Source organism: Homo sapiens, chromosome 19, assembly GCF_000001405.40.
Source record: "Homo sapiens chromosome 19, GRCh38.p14 Primary Assembly".
Classification (NCBI taxonomy): Eukaryota; Metazoa; Chordata; class Mammalia; order Primates; family Hominidae; genus Homo; species Homo sapiens.
In genome coordinates, this window is record NC_000019.10 from 20,188,382 (window position 1) to 20,208,893 (window position 20,512).

Below are 20,512 nucleotides of genomic sequence, written 5' to 3' on the forward strand. Positions count from 1 at the left end.
CAAGTGTACATTTTCAGGGCCAGGCATGGTTGTGGCTCCCATCTGTAATCCCAGGATTTTGGGAGGCCAACACAGGAGGATCCCTGGAGCCCAAAAGTTTGAGACCAGCCTGGGAAAGATATGGAGACCCCTCTTTATAAAAATAATTTAATAATTGCCAGGCATGGTGGTATGCAGCTGTGGTACCTGCTACTTGGGAGATGGAGGGGGAGTCAAAATTGTGCCACTACACTCCAGCTTGAATGACAGAGTGAGACCCTGTCTCCAAAAAACAAAAAAAAGCTGTTCATTTCAGGCATGTTAAGTATATTCTCATTGTTATGTAAAATACTTCTAGACACTTTACATCTTGTAAAACTAAAACTCAATACCCATTAAATAACAACTGCTCATTTTACCCTCTCTCACCCTCGACAGACAAACCTTCCACTTTCTGTTTTATGATTTGACTACTTAAGATATCCATAATTTTGTTACTGGATTAATTCAAGTGACATAATATTCTCAATGTTCATCTTAAAATGTGACAAGATTATTCTTTTTAAGATGGAATAATATTCCATTGTATGTATATGTTACATATTTTGATGTGTTTATAAATCAAGAGACATCTGGGTTGCTTCAACCTTTTGGCTTTTGTGAATACTGGTGCAATAAACATGGATTTTCAAATATGTCTTCCAGGTCCTGTGTTGCTTTTCTTTTTTTCTAGAGATGGATTCTCACTCTGTCACCCAGGCTGAAGTGCAGTGGTGTGATATCAGCTCACTGAAACCTCTGCCTCCTGGGTTCAAGCAATTCTGCTTCAGCCTCCCAAGTAGCTGTGATTACAGGTGCCCACCAACACACCCAGCTAATTTTTTGTATTTTTAGTATTATGGGGTTTATTATGTTGGCCAGGCTGGTCTCAAACTCCTGATCTCAGGTAATCACCCACCTTGGCCTCCCAAAGTGCTAGGATTACAGGCTTGAGCACCTGGGCCTGGCCTGTGTTACGTATTTTGTAAATAGATATAATAAGTGAGGAACATTTATAACATTTTTAAATAATGGCTGCATCTTTGTTTTCCAGCAAGAAGCAACATGGGTTTCATTTTTATTGCAACATCAACAGATTGGGTGTTTTTAAAAAAATTTACAGTGGCCATTCTAATGGATATGAGGTGATTTTGTTTGTCATTGTGTTTTTTTAATTTCTCTACAAATCAGTAATTTTGTGCATTCTTTCAAATGCTTTTTCCCATTTGTGTAGTTTTTTGATGAAAAATCTTTTTGTTCATTTTTAAATCAAGTTATTGAACTTTATTGATTAGTTTTAAGAGTTTTTATTTATTTTGAACATTAACTTCCTTCACATGAAATCTGCAAATGTTTTCATCCATTTTCTAAGGGATGTTGCCACTTTTGAATTTTCTTTTGATGTACAGAAATTTTGATGTCTAGTGTAGTTAAACTTTTCTTGTATTTGTTGCTCATGCATTTAATGTCGTATCTAAGAAAATGGTGGCAAGACCAATGTAATGTCCTTTTCCTGTATTTTTTCTAATAGATTTGTTAGTTTCTTTATGTCTAAGTATTTTGTTTAAAATATATTTTTGTATCGTTCAAGGAAATAACCCAATTTTATTTTATCAGTGTTGATATTCAGTTTTCAACATCATTTTTTGAAGATATTACTTTTCTCTATTTTGTACTCATAGCAACTTTTTGAAAGACCATTTGATCATATATAGAAGGGTTCATTTCTGAGCTCTCTATTCTGGTCTTTCATCTGTTTATCTTTGTGTCAGTATCACATTGTTTATGTTACTGTAGCCTTTAACTGTAGGTTGTATTGACATCTGTGAAGAATAAAATTTTTTGACCCCTGAGCAAGAATATGTTGAATCAGAGTGTTTTATATTCACATATTTTTGAATTTGCCAATTTACCTTTTGCTTTTAATTCCTAGTGTCATTCAGTTTTTGTTAGAAAACACACAATGTATAATTTTAGTGTTTTTAAATTGATTTGTTGTTGTTTTAAGACAAGATCTTACCAACACCAAGGCTGGAGTGCTGTGGCATAATTTTGGCTCACTATAGCCTCAGCCTCCTGGGCTCAAGTGATCCTTTCACCTCTGTTTTCTGACCAGCTTGGACTACAGACATGTACTACCATGTCTGCCTAATTGTTTGCTTGTTTGCAGTGTTAGGATCTCATTATGTTGTCCAGGCTGGTCTCAAACTTTTGGCCCTAATGGATCCTCTTACCTAGGTCTCCCAAAGTGTTAGGGTTATAGGCAAGAGCCACTGCACCCCGTCAGTACTTTTAAATTTAATAAAACTTGGTATGTGTCCTAACAGATTATACCAGATGCAAATAAGAATATTGTGTATTATCTTGGTTTTGACTGGAGAGTTTTGCTTGTGTCTGTGAAGCCTAGTTGGTCTATAATATGGTTTCCATGTTCATGTTCTCCAGACCTCATGCTGCAAAATAAATCTTCAATGTTGGATGTGGGACCTGGTGGGACATGTTTGTGTCATGGAGGCAAATTTCTCATGAACGGCATGGTACATCCTCTTGGTAACCAAAACTTTACACTCTATTAATTCAAATGAGAGCTGGTTCATTAAAAGAACCTGGATCCTTCACCTCACACTTGCTCTGTTTCATTAACATATAGTATGTCCAATTACTCTTTACCTTCCACCATGATTGTAAGTTTCCTGAGGCCCTCACCAGAAGCAGATGCTAGCACACACTTCTTATAGTCTGTCAAACTGTGAGCCACATAAATTATTTTTCTTTAAAAATTATGCACTTGGCTGGGCACGGTGGCTCATGCCTGTAATCCCTGCACTTTGGGAGGCCGAGGCGGGTGGATCATGAGGTCAGGAGATCGAGACCATCCTGGCTAACATGGTGAAACCCCGTCTCTACCAAAAATACAAAAAGCCGGGCGTGCTGGTGGGCACCTGTAGTCTCAGCTACTTGGGAGGCTGAGGCAGGAGAGTGGCGTGAATCTGGGAGGCGGAGCTTGCAGTGAGCTGAGATTGCTCTACTGCACTCCAGCCTGGGCGACAGCGAGATTCCTTCAAAAAAAAAAAAAAATTATGCACTCGGCTGGGGGCGGTGGCTCACACCTGTAATCCCAGCATTTTGGGAGGCCCAGGTGGGTGGATCACGAGGTCAGGAGATCGAGACTCTCCTGGCTAAGACGGTGAAACCCCGTCTCTATTAAAAATATAAAAAAATTAGCCGGGCATGGTGGTGGGCGCCTGTAGTCCCAGCTACTCGGGAGGCTGAGGCAGGAGAATGGCGTGAACCTGGGAGGCGGAGCTTGTAGTGAGCTGAGATTGCGCCACTGTACTCCAGCCTGGGCAAAAGAGCAGGACTCTGTCTCAAAAACAAAGAAAAAAAGAAAAAGAAATTATGCAGTCTCAAGTATTCCTCTGTATGCAAAATAATATGGTCTATAATGTTGCGTAAGTTGTCTGTTTCTCATTTTTTCTCTGAATTTTCTATTTATTATTGCAAATGGGGTCTTGATGTCTACAATTTTTATGTTGCTATGTATGCCTTGCTTCACTTTTGTCAATATTTGCTTTATATATTTTGGAGCCCTGATGTTATATACACATATACATATAGATAGATAAATAATATAGTTACCGATTCCTGGTAAATTAACTCACTTTACCATAATATAATATCATTCTTTGTCTAATGGTAGTATTTGACCTATAGCATATTATGTCTAATATAATTGTGACCACCTCACTCAATTGTGGTTACTATTTTTATGATATACACATTTTTTTCCTTCTGTTACTTTCAGCCTATTTGACTCAATGCTACAATGAGTCTCTTGTAGGCAGCATACTGTATGCTTTTAAAGAAACCACTGAGGCATTCTATAGCTTTTTCTTCATATGTATATATTTATTTATGTATTTATTTTGAGACAGAGTTTCACTTTTGTTGCCCAAGCTGGAGTGCAATGGCGTGAGCTCACTGCAACCTCTGCCTCCCAAGTTCAAGTGATTCTTCTTTGTCAGCCTCCCAAGTAGCTGGGATTACAGGCACCTGTCACCATGCCCAGCTAATTTTTTTGTATTTTAGGTAGAGATGGGATTCCACCATGATGGCCAGGCTTGTCTTAAACTTCTGACCTCAGGTGATCTGCCCGCCTCTGCCTCCCAAAGTGCTGGGATTACAGGCATCAGCCACCACGCCTGGCCTCATTTAACTTTGAGATAGGGTCTCACTCTGTCAACCAGGCTGATTTGCATGATTCACTGATGCCAGAACCTCCAAAACTCAGATGATCCTCTCATTTTAGCCTCTCAAACAGCTGGGTTACAAGTATGTGTCATCATAGCCATCTATGTTTTTTGTATTTTTTGTAGAGACAGAGTTTTGCCATGTTGCCCAGGCTGGTCTTGAACTCATGGGATCAAGTGATGAGCCTACCTTGGCCTTCCAAAGTCCTAAGATTACATTTGATTTTATTAAGTAGTATAATTAATTTATATTTACAATGAATAAACAAATGAAGTTGTCATTAGCAGTTAGATTGTTACTGTTTTATGTGTTTCTAGTAGTTATATTTTTCTCATCTCCTGTTTTACTTTCTTAATTTTCATTTTATTTTGTACTGGCATGCTTTCATTACTTTTTATCTTCTTTTGCATACTTTCTATAAATATTATCTTTGTAATCATCTTGAAAACTGGAGATTACATACATCTTAAAGTTAAAACAATATGTTTCAATCTCATAACTTCAACTGAATACAAAAACTATGCCTCTATATTTTATGGTTTGTTACTGATATAAAAATTATTTTATATGGTGTATCTATTAACATTTATGCAGATTTACATATTTCTTATATTTTATTAAAAAACTTTAAAGTTTTTATGTACCATCTTTTTTTTTTTTTTGAAACTGGGTCTCACTCTATTGCCCATGATGGAGTGCAGTGGTGTAATCTTGGCTCACTGTAACCTCCACCAGGCATGGTGGCTCATGCCTGTGTTCTCAGCACTTTGGGAGGCCGAGGTGGGTGAATCAGAAGGTCAGGAGTTCGAGAGCAGCCTGGCCAACATGGTGAAACGCTGTCTCTACTAAAAAATACAAACATTATCCGGGCATGCTGGCAGGTGCCTATAATCCCAGCTCCTCAGGAGGCTGAAGCAGGAGAATTGCTTGAACCTAGAAGGCGGACGTTGCAGTGAGCCAAGGTCACACCACTGTACTCCAGCCTGGACAACAGAGCGAAACTCCGTCTCAAAAAATAAAAAAAAATATGTCTTTTGATTGGAAAGATGATTATATATATATTTAAATCGTTTTCTGCAATAGAAAAACTTACTGTTATTTTTATTAATTGTTTTATTTGATTCTTCTATCTTTTTCACTCATTTTCTGTCTTTTTTGTGTTTTTTTAATTTTTTGTATTGATATGCTTTCAGTTTCTTATTTTCTTTTGTGTATCTATACAGCTATTATCTTAGTGGTAACATGGGGGATTACATAAAACCTAAAAGATCCAACAATATATTTGAATGTGGTAAAAAAATTAACTTCAGTTATATACTGAAATTCTTCATCATTACATTTGCCTTCAACTTTGTTACTGATTTTGCTAATTATATTTTTTATGTTGTATATTTATTAACAGATGTTAACAATAATTTCTATACTTTTATCTTTTAAATTTAGAGAGTATTAAAAATGTTTTCTGTACCATTATGATGTTAAGAAATTCCATTTTTGTGTATGTGGATATCTTTTCCAGAAAGTTATGTATTTTCATAGATTATCTGTTGTTTTCTTGCATTATGTTATTTTCAGTGGAAGAAACTCCTTTTAGCATCTTTGATGTGTATGGTGTATGCAGTGCCAATATACTTTCTCAGGATTTGGTTATTTTGGAAGCACTTGTTTTATTTGGTAGTACAATTTTGCTGATGGCATTATTGCATTTGACAGCTTTTTAAAAAAATTATTATAACTTTAGCAATATCACAGTTTTTTTCTGACGTGTAAGAATGTTTTAAATAAATTCACTGGTGCCGGTTGTGGTGGCTCACGTCTATAATCCCAGCACTTTGGGAGACTGAGACGGGCAGACCACCTGAGGTCAGAAGTTTGAGACCAGCCAGGCTAACATGGTGAAACCCTGTTTGTACTGAAAATACAAAAAAGTAGCCAGGCATGGTGGCGCACGCCTGTAATCCCAGCTACTCAGGACGCTGAGGCAGGAGAATCCCTTGAACCCGGGAGTTGGAGGTTGCAGTGAGCCAAGATTGCATCATTGCACTCCAGCTTGTGCAACAAGATTGAAACTCTGTCTAAAAAAAAAAAATTCTCTGGTTATCTCATGAGACTATGCTTATAAATGGAACATCATTTTTATCTTGTAGCACCCAAAATTCTATTCTTATATGTGATTTTTGAAATTTTGCTTATATATGTGTTTGTTATAAATATATTTGTGTGTATCTAAGTTTGTTCATTCAGCTTTTTCATGTTTACATCATATTTTCTTTTAATAAATTTTTCAGTTTTTTATATTTTTTATATCCACGATTTTCGGTTTTTTGGTATTTTAGTATTTCTTTTTATAGTTGTCTGGGTTTCTATTTTTTTCTTATACAGAGTCTTTTTCTGTCACCGAGGCTGGAGTGCAGTGGCGTGTTCTCAGCCAGGCTGATCTTGAACTGCTGACCTCAAATGATCCACCCACCTCAGCCTCCTAAAGTGCTGGGTTTACAGGCATCAGCCACTGCACCCAACCTTTTTAATTTTATTTTTGAGACAGTGTTGCTCTGTTTCCCAGGCCGCAGTACAGTGGTACAATCTCCACTCACTGCAACGTTTCCCGCCTGGATTCAAGCAATTCTCCTGTGTCAGCCTTACAAGTAGCTGGGATTACAGGCACATGTCACCATGCCCAGCTAATTTTTGTATTTTTAGTAGATACAGGGTTTCACCATGTTGGCCAGGCTGGTCTCAAACTTCTGACCTCATGTATTTTCCCACCTTGATCTTCCAGTGTGTTGGGATTACAGGAATGAGCCACCAACAGTGGGATGTTCAATTCATTTGGAATTTTAAAAATTACTTTGTATACTTTTTATGGTTGCTTTTGAAAAGTTTATAATTTTTTTGATGGGGCCATGTTCTAATATTTGGTATACATTATCATCTTTGATAGAGATTTGGAAATTAACAAAAAGCTACCTGTTACAATCTTTATAATATAGCTTTGTCCTGGCGTAGCATGAAATCAATTGTCTTGGCTAGAGATTCTGGGAATTTTTCAAACATGTTTTTAGGATGAGTCTTGTCTAAAATTTTGTGTTTATTGTTTAGTTAAATCAGCTTATTCATATCTCTTCTTAATAGTCAGTAATCACCTGCTACACCCATTCCCTGTTTGCAGTTTCTCTGCTTCTCTATAATTTACCTTTAGACTCAGCAAACTCAAACTGTCATTCCAATGTATATCACCATTTTTTTTTAGCATTTTATGTCATGGGACACATTATCTGGTGTCTAAAAAAGCCCCTAGAAGACAAATAAAGATGTATGTGCCAATGTTTCTTGTTTTTTAAAAAGGAAACCAGGAGTTGGCAATTTACATTTTTGTGTGTATGTGTGAGACAGAGTCTCATTCTGTTACCTAGTCTCAAGTGCAGTGGCATGATCTTGGCTCACTACATTCTCTGCCTCCACAGTTGAAGCAATTCTCCTGCCTCAGCATCCCAAATAGGATTACAGGTAACTGTAACCATGCCTGGCTAATTTGTTTGTATTTTAGTAGAGATGGGGTTTTACCGTGTTGGTCAGGCTGGTCTCAAACTCCTGACCTCAGGTGATCCTCATGCTTTGCCCTCACAAATTTCTGGAATTACAGGCATGAGCTATCATGCCTTGTTGGCAATTTACTTTAAAAAAAAATTTTTTTTTGAGATGAAGTCTTGCTCTGTCGCCCAGGCCGGAGTGCAGTGGTGCAATCTTGGCTTACTGCAACCTCCGTCTCCTGGGTTCAAGAAATTCTCATGCCTCAGCCTCCTGAGCAGTTGGAATTACAGCGGCCCATGACCATGACTGGCTAACTTTTTGTAATTTTAGTAGAGATGGGGTTTCACCATCTTGGCCAGGATGGCCTTGAACTCCTGACCTCAAGTGATTCACCCATCTCAGCCTCCGAAAGTGCTGGTATTACAGGAATGAGCCACTGCACCAGGTTGGCAATTTACTTTTAAAGGCACAATGTTATACTGGAGAGCAGGAAGAGCTGTTGCATATAAGTAACAGAATTTTCTTTATCTTCTATGTGACTGTTTGCATTGTGCTCACCTAGGGACTTTCACACACTTAAAACTCACTTATAAATTTTTTACAAATGTATTTTGGTCAGTATGTTTTTGTTACCTTTATATGTCCAGGAAGAAATTACAGCTTGTGGCATTTTGCTATGTCATCTTGCTTATGTAGTTTGTATAATTTTATAGGTTAGATTTGTAAAGTATATTTATCTGAGTCTAGCAATTGAAGTAATGTGTTTTTATTGTTTCTTTCAGTTGTGTGTTCTCATTTTGCCCAAGACCTTTGGCCAGAGCAGAGCATAAAAGATTCTTACCAAAAAGTGATACTGAGAAAATTTGAAAAATGTGGACATGGCAATTTACACTTTAAAAAAGGCTGTGAAAGTGTGGATGAGTGTAAGTTACACAAAAGAGGTTATAATGGACTTAACCAATGTTTGACAACTACCCAGAGCAAAATATTTCAATGTGGTAAATATGTGAAAGTCTTTCATCAATTTTCAAATTCAAAGAGACATAAAAGAAGACATACTGAAAAAAAACCTTTGAAATATATAGAAGGTGACAAAGCTTTTAACCAGTCCTCAACCCATACTACACATAAAAAAATTGATACTGGAGAGAAACCATACAAATGTGAAGAATGTGGCAAAGCCTTCAACCGGTCCTCACACCTTACTACACATAAGATAACTCATACTAGAGAGAAACCCTACAAATGTGAAGAATGTGGCAAAGTCTTTAAGTACTTCTCTAGCTTTACTACACATAAGAAAATTCATAGTGGAGAGAAACCCTACATTTGTGAAGAATGTGGCAAAGCCTTTATGTACCCCTATACCCTTACTACACATAAGATAATCCATACTGGAGAGCAACCCTACAAATGTAAAGAATGTGACAAAGCTTTTAACCATCCTGCAACTCTTTCTTCACATAAGAAAATTCATACTGGAGAGAAACCGTACACGTGTGATAAATGTGGCAAAGCCTTTATTTCATCCTCGATCCTTAGTAAACATGAGAAGATTCATACGGGAGAGAAACCCTACAAATGTGAAGAATGTGGCAAAGCCTTCACCCGCTCCTCACACCTTACTATGCATAAGATAATTCATACTGGAGAGAAACCATACAAATGTGAAGAATGTGGCAAAGCCTTTACATGGTCTGCAGGCCTCCATAAACATAGGAGAACTCATACTGGAGAGAAACCCTACAAATGTGAAGAATGTGGCAAAGCGTATACTACATCCTCAAATCTAACTGAACATAAGACAACTCATACTGGAGAGAAACCTTACAAATGTAAAGAATGTGGCAAAGCTTTTAACTGGTCCTCAGACCTTAATAAACATAAGAGAATTCATATTGGACAGAAACCAAGAACGTGACAAAGGATTATTTTATTATTATTATTTTTTTGAGAGGTAATTCTGCTGTTGTTTCCCAGGCTGGAGTGCAATGGCATAATTTTGGCTCACCACAACCTCCACCTTCTGGGTTCAAGTAACTCTCCTTAGTAGCTAGGATTACAGGGCTGCACCACCACACCTGGCTAATTTTGTATTTTTAGTAGAGATGGGGTTTCTCCATGTTGGTCAGGCTGGTCTCAATCTCCTAACCTCAGGTGGTCTGCCTGCTTTGGCCTCCCAAAGTGTTGGGGTTACAGGCATGAGCCACTGTGCCTGGCTGACAAAGCTTTTTAAGGAAGTTCTCAACCCTTATTACACATAATTCATACTGGACAGAAACCCTACAAGTGTGAAGAATGTGGCAAGCCTGTAACAAGTTCTCAATTCTTTTATTTTTATTTGTTTATTTATTTTTTGAGATGCAGTTTCACTCTTGTGACCCGGGCTGTAGTGCAATGGCATGATCTTGGCTTACTGTGACCTCTGCCTCCTGGGTTCAAGCCATTCTCCTGCCTCAGCCTCCCAAGTAGCTGGGATTACAGGTGCCACCACCATTCCCAGCTAATTTTTGTATTTTTAGTAGAGATGGGCTTTTGCCATATTTGCCAGGCTGGTCTCAAACTCCTGACCTCAGGTGATCCACTCGCCTCGGCTTCCTAAAGTGCTGGGATGACAGGCATGAGCCTCAATTCCCAGCCATAAGCTCTTAATTCTTAAGAGACATGGCGATAATTCATGGTGAAGAGGAACTTTACAAACCTGAAAGATGTGACAGTGCTTTTCCCAACACCTCCAACTTTTCTATGCATAAAAAAAATTATACTACACCATAGAAATGTATGAAATGTGACAAAGCCTTTATATGGTTGCCACACTTTATTGTAGGTAATTCATACTTCCAAAATACCTACAAGTATGAAGAATGTGGCAAAACTTTTAATCAGTGCTTACACCGTATTTCACAGGAAAGCTATTATCCTTGAGAAAAATTGTACAAATATAAAGAATATGGAAAAGCCATTAATGTCCATCACATCTTACTCAACAGAAGAAGGTTCATAAAAGAGCAATTACTGTGACAAAAATCTTTCAGAAAATATAAGCCTTTAAGGTGAAGAAGAGTATTGATTCTGAAGACAAGCATTACAAATATAAAGAGGTTTGTAGTACCTTTGCTTGTATTACAGATCTTATTGCCCGCGTTTTGTATTAGAAGGAAACCCTAAAGCGGTTGCCAAACTTTGTGCAACATCAGGGAATGTATATTGAAGAAGATTCCTGCAAATGTAATGAGTTTGGAAACACTTCTTAGATAAATTATTTGTGGCTGGGCACAGTGGCTCATGCCTGTAATCCCAGCACTTTGGGAGGCCAAGGTGGGAGGATCACCTGATGTCGGGAGTTTGAGATCAGACTGACCAAAACGGAGAAACCCAGTCTCTACTGAAAATATAAAATTAGCCATGCATGGTGGCACATGCCTGTAATCCCAGCTACTCAGGAGGCTTGAACCCTGGAGGCAGAGGTTGTGGTGAGTCGAGATCATTGCACTCCAGCCTGGGCAATAAGAGTGAAACTCTGTCTCCAGGAAAAAAAAAAATTTATTTGTGTATAACTTTAAAAGCAGATTTTTGGAAGCATTGTAATTACATTAAAAGTATACTTGTTCCAGCTGCGTGTGGTGGCTCATGCCTGTAATCCCAACACTTTGGGAGGCCAAGGCAGGTGGATCACGAGGTCAGGAGTTCAAGACCATCTTGGCCAAGATGGTGAAACCCTGTCTGTACTAAAAATACAAAAATTAGCCATGCATGGTGGCCGGCGCGTATAATCCCAGCTGCTTGGGAGGCTGAGGCAGAGAATTGGAATTGCTTGAACCTGGGAGGTGGAGGTTGCAGTGAGCCGAGGTTGCACCATTGTCCAGCCTGGGCAACAGAGCAAGACTCCATCTCAAAAAAAAAAGTGTATTTGTTTCCTTAAAAAAATTTTTCTGAAAAGTGGGTAATGACATAATACAGCTTTCAAATTACTTTATGCTGTTATTTTATTCTTATTGTATTCACATGTGAAAGCATGTGATCAATTTTTGCTGCATCAGAGATATTAGAGATAGTTTTTTATTAATTGGGCATTTATGACCTTTTCTATAAAAGTAAGGACATTAAAATGTAAGATGCATGATGAAAATATAAGTGGAGAGGCTCTTTGTAGTTAACCTATATGAAGTAATGTATAAGGTAGGTCAGAGTAATACTTTTCTACATTATAGTGCAAGAAATAATTATTGATAAAAGTATATTAAACTAAATTCGTATATTTTACTTATTGTACTTTTATGTAATAAAATGCAGTGCATTTAAAAATTGTTAGATTATGTGTGAATTTAATTTTATGTTTTTTACCATGTTAAGACTATTGTGCATTTAATGAAGCATTATTATGCCACTAACCTATCCCACCTTACTCAAAGGTGTAGGTAAAAGATGGTAGCAATATACTATTTGGTACATAATGGAATAATGTCTCTAGTAATCACTTTGCCAGTGGCTTTAAACAGCAAATGAATTTAAGAATATTGTTCCCATAGGTTAAATTTTTATTCTCTTTTCTTACTGAAATTTATTATTAGTATTTGTGAGTATATAGTATATGTATATATTTATGCTTTATATGGCATATTTTGATTCAGGCCTATAATATGTAGTAACTACATTAGGGTAAATAAGGTATCTATCACCTCTAGCATTTATCCTTTGTATTAAAAACAGTGTAATTATATACTTTTAGTTATTTTAAAATGTACAATAAATTGTTATTGACTACAGGGTTATTTTTATGATCATAATAAAAATTATACAGAAATATAAATAAAATACAGCCAGGCCCAGTGGCTCATGCCTGTAATCCCAATACTTTGGGAGGACAAGGCAGGTGGATTGCCTGAGGTCAGGAGTTCAAGACTGGCCTGGCCAACGTGGTGAAACCTCGTCTACTAAAAATACAAAATATAGTTGGGCATTGTGGTGCATGTTTGGAGGCTGAGGCAGGAGATTCACTTGTAACTGGGAGCTGGAGGTTGCACTGAGCTGAGATTGCACCACTTCACTCCAGCCTGGGCAACAGACTCAATCTCAAGAAAAAAAGAAATAGAAATCATACATATACTGAAAACTTATTAATAAATGTTTGTTATATGGTTTTCTTTGAACATGTGGTCTTTGCCTGCAAATGTAGACTTTCAGTGTTAATTTACATCAGTTAAATATACACATATTACTCTGAAGATAAACCTTAGATGTAAGAAACTTATGGAGTGTGTTTGTGTGAGCATGAGATTGTACATATTTTCAGAAGAAAAGAACAATTATTGGAACAAAACAAATTATTTTAATAAGGTGGCTAATAAAAAACTAAGCTCCTTGAGAATGCTGAAAGCAAATCTATGCTTTCTGCTTTGTCTTGAATTTATTAATATAAAATTTTATGGCTTATGTTTCAAATTTTTTTCAGAATCTGTCTATTAAAGTACAGGCAGCTTTGTCTCCAGAAACAACGCTCTTGAGTACAACAATAAAAGCCCTCTTCAAACAGAAAACAAATAATCATAGTTAACACTTGTTTTAATGAAAATTCAACCAAAATTAAATAATTAGATATATTTTTATTGTCCTATGTGTGTGTGAATGTATAAAATGGTGCATAAAGGAAAAATATGCCAGAAAAAAAGTTAATATTTGTAATGAATAAAACTGGAAATTAGTTCATTATTTGCAGGTGATATCTTTGTTTATGTAGATAACAAAAGCAGCAGAAAACTTTCACGGAGTCTCTCTCTGTTGCCCAGGGTGGGGTGGAGTGCAGTGGTGCGATCTCGGCTCACTGCAAGCTCCGCATCCCGGGTTCACGCTGTTCTCCTGCCTCAGCCTTCCGAGTAGCTGGGACTACAGGCGCCCGCCACCACGCCCAGCTAATTTTTTGTATTTTTAGTAGAGACGGGGTTTCGCCGTGTTAGCCAGGATGGTCTTGATCTCCTGACCTCATGATCCACCCGCCTTGGCCTCCCAAAGTGCTGGGATTACAGGCGTGAGCCACTGCACCCGGCCAAAACCTTTTTTTTTTTTTCCAAAGAATTATAAATAGAAGATTCTAAAGAGAAGTTTTTAATAAATAAGCATTTAAAAGAAACTAGGGTTACTTGTTATGTTTAAAATATATGCTGTTCTCACACAAAATGAAACTGCTGAAATCCAAATTTAGAAGCAAAGAATAGACTTAAATTGTTAAACATAGAAAATATAAATATATACTTTGAAGAACAGGATTAGGCACCTTGATACGTGAAAGAAAATATTAGGAAATAAACTATTTTATTCTTCAGATACAGGCTGAAGAAAGTAGATGAAAACCCTGTAATTCCTTTTTGCCTGCAGCAAACTTAAATTTATAAGTAATTATTTTGGTAAATATGGAGTGCCTACTAATTATGTAATTTACTTCATGCATAACATGCAAATTCTAGCATATTGTCATAAATAAATCTAAAATTACAGACAAATTTGAAATAGAAAATAGTCAAAATGTAGAGGGCGAGTGACATCAGTAAGATGAAAGATTAAAAGTTCCCTAATTTTATATCCCCTTACAGCAAAAAACATCGGCCATCCCTGACAAAAATGCCTTTATTGGCTGGGCACAGTGGCTGATGCCTTTAATCCCAGCACTTTGCTGAGATCTGCTGAGACGGGCAGATCACGAGGTCAGGAGTTTGAGACCAGCATGGCAAACATGGTGAAACCCTGTCTCTACAAAAATACCAAAAAAATAGGCAGTCATGGTGGCACACGTCTGTAATCCTAGCTACTCAGGAGGCTGAGGCAGGAGAATTGTTTAAACCCGGGAGGCAGAGGTTGCAGGGAGGTGAGATGGCACCACTGCACTCCAGCCTGAATGAGAGAGTGTCTCAGAGAAATAAATAAATGCCTTTATTAGAAAACCAGGCATTATGGCTCACACTTGTAATGACAGCTACATGGTACATTAATGATGGAGAACAGCTTCAGGCCAGGATTTCGAGACCAGCCTGGGTTATGTAGCAAGATGTCATCTCCAAAATAAGTGCCTCTATGAGAGATGTGAGATCCAGGGAGGGAGTTGTGAAACTGTTAAAGCTTAAGGTTGAGAAGTGTTCTATTCAGAAGGCAGGCCCTCATTCAGGTGGAAAACTATATGACCCCTGTTCTAGGCTACAGACCAGGATAGGGTTCACCCAACTTGGTCCCACTAAGAATTCTGAACTTACTGTGTAATCATCTGAAACTCCTCCAGCCACAGTCTGGCAGAGGTCTTGCCATTCCAGAGACCTGGAGGAAGGTGCCCATTCACAGCCATCTAGGCAGGCCTGCAGACCTTGGCCTGTACAGGGGTCCCTGAAGTGGTTCAGTGACTCAGTTTCAGTTACCTGAGCCACAGTTCATGGCCAGTTCGGCCTACATAGAAAGCTACAGAGTTACTTGAAAAAATAATCTCTGGTACTCACTGAAAGCCATACTCATCTACATCCTGATACAAGGCCCACCATATGCAGAACCAACTTCAGAAACATTCCTTATGTCTGCCCTATGGAGCAAAGTCCTGAAAGATTTGCAGTCTGTCCAAAAATAAACTGGGAATTACAATTACCCAAGCCCCTGTAACAAGCCAACTAAAGATGGACCCTAGTGCAGTCCCAGCAGCCTTGTGACCAAGCTGCAACCCCTCTTCACTACAAATTCAGAGGGTTTCTCATCATCCTAAGGGACCAACAAAAGAAGATCTTTATCTTCTAAAATCAGTGTATGAAAACTTGAAGAGGTGTTTGCTCCATCAACTTCAGACACCAATACAAAACTATACTGTGCCCATTGTCAACACTTCTATTTTAATCTAGCACCGGAAGTATGTGGCAGAAGAATTAGTCAAAAAAATTTTTTAATCCATTGAAATTAAAGAAAAATGAGTAAAAAGTTGCTGTTTGCAGATTATACAATTTTCTATTTAAAAAACTAAGCAGTATATTAAAGCCTGTCTAATAAATGCACTCAGTAAATTAGCAAAATATAAAAGTAACATAGAAGTATATGTATGGTTTCTTTCACTTAAAACAAACTATCTGATAAAATACAGAAAGAGGCTGGGTGCGGTGGCTCATGGCTGCAATACCAGCATTTTGGGAGGCCGAGGAAGGTGGATCATCTGATGTCAGGAGTTTGAGACAAGCGTGGCCAAAAAGGTGAAACCCTGTCTCTACTAAAAATATAAAAATTAGCTGGATGTTGTGGTGGGCACCGGCAATCTCTGCTAATTGGTAGGCTGAGGCAAGAGAATTGCTTGAAACCAGGAGGTGGAGGTTGCAGTGAGCCCAGATTGTGCCACTGCATTCCAGCCTGGGTGACAGTTGGAGACTCCATCTCAAAAGGAAAAAAAAAAAAAAATAGAGGAAGAAAAAAATCTTATTTACTATAACATTAAATAATAAATTTCTGAGAAAAATATTAACCAAGGAGGTAAAAAGTCTTTACAATAAAAAAACAAAATTAGAGAAGATCCAAATAAATTTTAAAATATTTTATGTCTATGGATTGAAAGAATAAATATTAAAGCACCATGTTATCCAAAGTGATCTATAGATTGAAGAAACTTCTTATCTAAATTGCAGTTGTATTTTTTCACAGTAATGGAAAATACAATTCTAAAATTTACATGAAATTAAAATAAACTTTGAATAGCCAAAGCAATCATGAGGAAAAGGAACAAGGCAGAAGGATATCATACTTATAATTTCAAATTATATTTCAAGACTATATAGTAATGAGTGGACTGTGCAGAAAAATGAACAGAAAAATTCAACAGAAATAACTACTCTCACACATTTCAAATCTGATGCGAAAAAAACCTTAAAAAATAGTTTTAGTTTCTTAAAATCATGCATATATTTGTGAGTCCCAAAAACAATGAAAAAGAAGCCAGATTGTGCAGTCTCTTATATGTCATGAAGAGGAATTTGGCTTTCAAATTTGGCTTATATGTCATGAAGAGGAATTTGGCTTTCACTCACCCCATCGTTCCTAACCTTACACCATTCTTAGCAAAATTCCATATGATCATCAATGGTTTACAATGATAGATTTGAAGGATGCCTTCTGGGCATACCCCTTGTCTGATGATAGCTGAGATATATTTGCTTTTGAGTGGTAAGACCCCTATTTGGGGCAGAGACAACAATATTGATGGACAGTCTTGCCCCAGGGTTTCACAGACTCCCCCAACCTCTTTGTTCAGGTCCCAGAACAAGTACTAGAAAAAGTCACAGTCCCTAAACAAATATGTCTGCTTCAGTATGTGGATGATCTTCTTATATCTGGTAAAGACATAAAAGAGGTAGGTGACTTCTCTACACACATTCTCAATCACTTGCAGTGTGAGGGGTTGCTGGTCTCAAAAGGGAAAATTCAGTATGTAGAACCTGAAGCTAAATACTTAGGCTACCTAATTAGTGCAGGTAAATGAAAAACAGGACCTGAAAGAGAATTGTTTCCCTACCCTTGCCTCAAACTAAACAAGAACTCAGGAAATTTTTAGGACTAATTGGATATTGTCATTTATGGATTTGACTCATATGCATGAAAGAGTAAACTTCTATATGAGAAACTTGCCCAGTGGAAGGCTGATAATTTCTTGTGGACTTCCCAAGAAATCCAGCAAATTGAGGAATTGAAAGGGACACTCATAGCCACCCCGTTCTAGCTCTACCCTCCCTAGAAAAGCCATTTCACCTTTTCATTAATGTAAATAATGGGGTAGCCCTAGGAATGCTAACCCAAGAACATGGAGGCTGCCAACAGCCCGTGGCCTTCTTGTCAAAGGTCTTAGACCCACTCACTCATAGGTGGCCCCAGGGTATCCAATCCATTGCAGCTACAGCAGTATTAGTCAAAGAAAGTAGGAAGGTAACCTTTGGAGGAAAGTTAACAGTAAGCCTGCCCCACCAAGTTAGAACTATATTAAATCAGAAAGCAGGGAGGTGGATCACTGACTCAATAATTTTAAAATATGAGGCTATTTTACTGGAAAAAGATGATTTAATATTAATTGAGAATATCATACCTAGATTTAGACTAATAGAAAATATTAGTCTACTACTACTGATAATTCACTTAATCCAGCAAGATTTTTAACAGAGGATCCAAACTTAAAACGAGAGCATGTATGTTTAGATCTGATTGACTACCATACAAAAGTTCGACCAGACTTAGGAGAAACTCCCTTCAAGACAGGTTGGCACTTATTCATAGATGGGTCTTCCCAGGTGATTGAGAGGAAAAGACATAACAGGTATTCAGTGATTGATGGAGAGACGCTTGAAGAAGTAGAATCAGGAAGGCTGCCTAATGATTGGTCTGCCCAAACATGTGAACTGTTTGCACTCAGCCAAGCTTTAGGACATTTACAAAGCCAAGGGTATACTGACTGTAAGTATGCCTTTGCCAGGAAGGAACTATCTATACTGACTGTAAGTATGCCTTTGGGGTGGCACACACATTTGGGAAAATTTGGATGAAGAGGTTCTTATCAATAGTAGAGGCCAAGATTTAGTTCATAGCTAATTGCTTGTGTCCTCAACAATCTCCAATTGCCAGAAGAGATAGCTATCGTGCATGTCGCAGGGCACCAAAGGGACTTTGGTGTCTGTAGTTCTCTAATATCACATCCCTATATAAATTCCACTGTGCAGTGTCCAGGCAATGCCATTCCTCCAGAGAGAATTCTATGGCCACATCTCTAAATTGCAATGGTTCCTGAAACACACACACACACACACACACACACACACACACACACACACACACATTTTTACCAAGTTGCCATTGGTGGAATTTTTAATTTGATTTAAGGTGAAATGAGAGAGTAAAGGGAAGTGATTCTGACTTACAGGACTAAAATTATCCAATAAAATAATTTTCAACACAGAAATATTCTCTAATATATTCTCTAACTCTAAGAAAAAAAGAGGAGCATAACATCCACAACATCATTTCATATATTTTTCCATATAATAAAGTATAAAATTAAGGGCATGAACATGAACATGTACATTTTTGAGTGCTATATTTACATCATACAGAATGAGTTGTGAATATTTTTCCGATGGAAAAGACATGTTGAGTTAGAAGGTATCTCTCAAATTTTGTTTTGAGATGGAATTTCAATCTAGTTGCCTAGGCTGAAGTGCAGTGATGTGATCTTGGCTCACCACAACCTCTGCCTCCCGGGTTCAAGCAAATCTCCTGCCACAGCCTCCCGAGTAGCTGAGATTACAGGCATGCACCAACATCCCTGGATAATTTTGTATTTTTAGTAGAGATGGGGTTTTCTCTATGTTGGCCAGGCTGGTCTTGATTTCCCGAACTCACGTGATCTGCCCGCCTCAGCCTCCCAAAGTGCTGGGATTACAGGCATGAGCCACTGCACTTGGCTGATTTTTTTAATTTCTAAGAAGCTCACCAGTAATGCCAATGTTTTTGGCCCAAGAAGGATATTTTGTCAAACATCCAGTAAGTGGAAGAGCCTGTGTTTTTCCCAGATTTTTTAGCCTGTAAGCAAAGATAAAAGCCTTCATTTTCCAAAGAGAGATATGTAGAAAAAAATAAGAAAAAAGGACAGCTGCCAGATTAAATGTGATGGTTTATGCACATCAGCTGCATAAACATACTTAATAATGAAGAGAAAAATAATTAACCCTATGGTGAAAAAAATCTGTCAGAGAGCTAATTCACCAAGTGAATCATTAACCATTAACTGCACGAGGACAAATTTTTACGATGTGCTAATGCACACAGGAGAACACAGAATCACTGTTGAAATATACTTCCCCAAAAAACTAAATTACAGTCTGAATTTAACCATAAAGAAACATGAGTTTTATGCAAACTTCAACATCCAGATAACTCCTATGTTCTGTAATTTTTACTAGTAATTTTAAATAGGGTTCATTTAGCACCCTAGAAAACAAGTATCTCCTGATAAGTTTTTTCAGAACTTTCTGGGTAATAAATGCCATCCCATTTTAATGAGCATTTTCTTAATCCTGTTCTGCATAGAGCTAATGGAACACACAGATGGAGCCTCAACATTACATGTTCTCCATCTTTACTAAGGACCACACTTTTCCCCAATAGAAATCTTCAGTATCCACATCTTTCCATGTTCAATAGCCACAAAAGGAACATTTTTAATATTGCAGATCATAAATCCTTGCTGAGAATCCTGCGTGACATATAAGAAGCTATGATGTAGAGAATGCAGAGATGGCTCTGGAATATAGGAAAGAAATATTTTTCAGAGACCCTTGACTATCATAAGAATTTTAACAAGTAGTTAAATCAAACTTATTAGGGAGGAAAAATACAAGTAGAAAAATAAAGGTTTGCAAGTACTAAACGCATGGCAGTCCAGGAGGCAGAGTGGACACAGGTCTTCATCTGACACAGGTTTACCTGAAGAAAAGCCTTTTTTTTTCTTTTTCCCCTTCTCTGGAATTCCTTCTCAGATGAGATTTTCTGGACAAATTAAACCTGCATCTGAAGGATATGCTTTTAAAGGTGTTTACCTGCTAGCATGACATCAACTAGCAGAAAAAGACAGAAAAAGTCCACCCATTTCTGTCCTTTAAAACAGAAGAGGTTCAGGAAAAATGAGATGCTCCATGAAGATGAAAGTATAAGTTTCTCCTTT

The 20,512-nt window shown here is 37.6% G+C and overlaps 1 protein-coding gene, 1 long non-coding RNA gene and 1 pseudogene across 3 annotated transcripts in view; 2 read left to right on the forward strand and 1 right to left on the reverse strand.

Annotated features, from left to right (window-relative positions):
- The window catches only part of ZNF486 (zinc finger protein 486), a 33,275-nt gene extending 21,168 nt beyond the window's left edge, over nucleotides 1-12,107 (forward strand). The window contains exon 4 of the mRNA NM_052852.4: nucleotides 8,583-12,107. Within this exon, the coding sequence (NP_443084.2) occupies nucleotides 8,583-9,721 (1,139 nt within the window). The 3' untranslated portion in view covers nucleotides 9,722-12,107. The remainder of the gene's footprint in view (nucleotides 1-8,582) is intronic.
- LOC105372310 (uncharacterized) overlaps nucleotides 1-20,512 on the reverse strand; it is a 148,126-nt gene that overhangs the window by 64,679 nt on the left and 62,935 nt on the right. The window lies entirely within an intron of this gene.
- Nucleotides 10,052-11,042, forward strand: LOC100419841 (zinc finger protein 107 pseudogene; annotated as a pseudogene).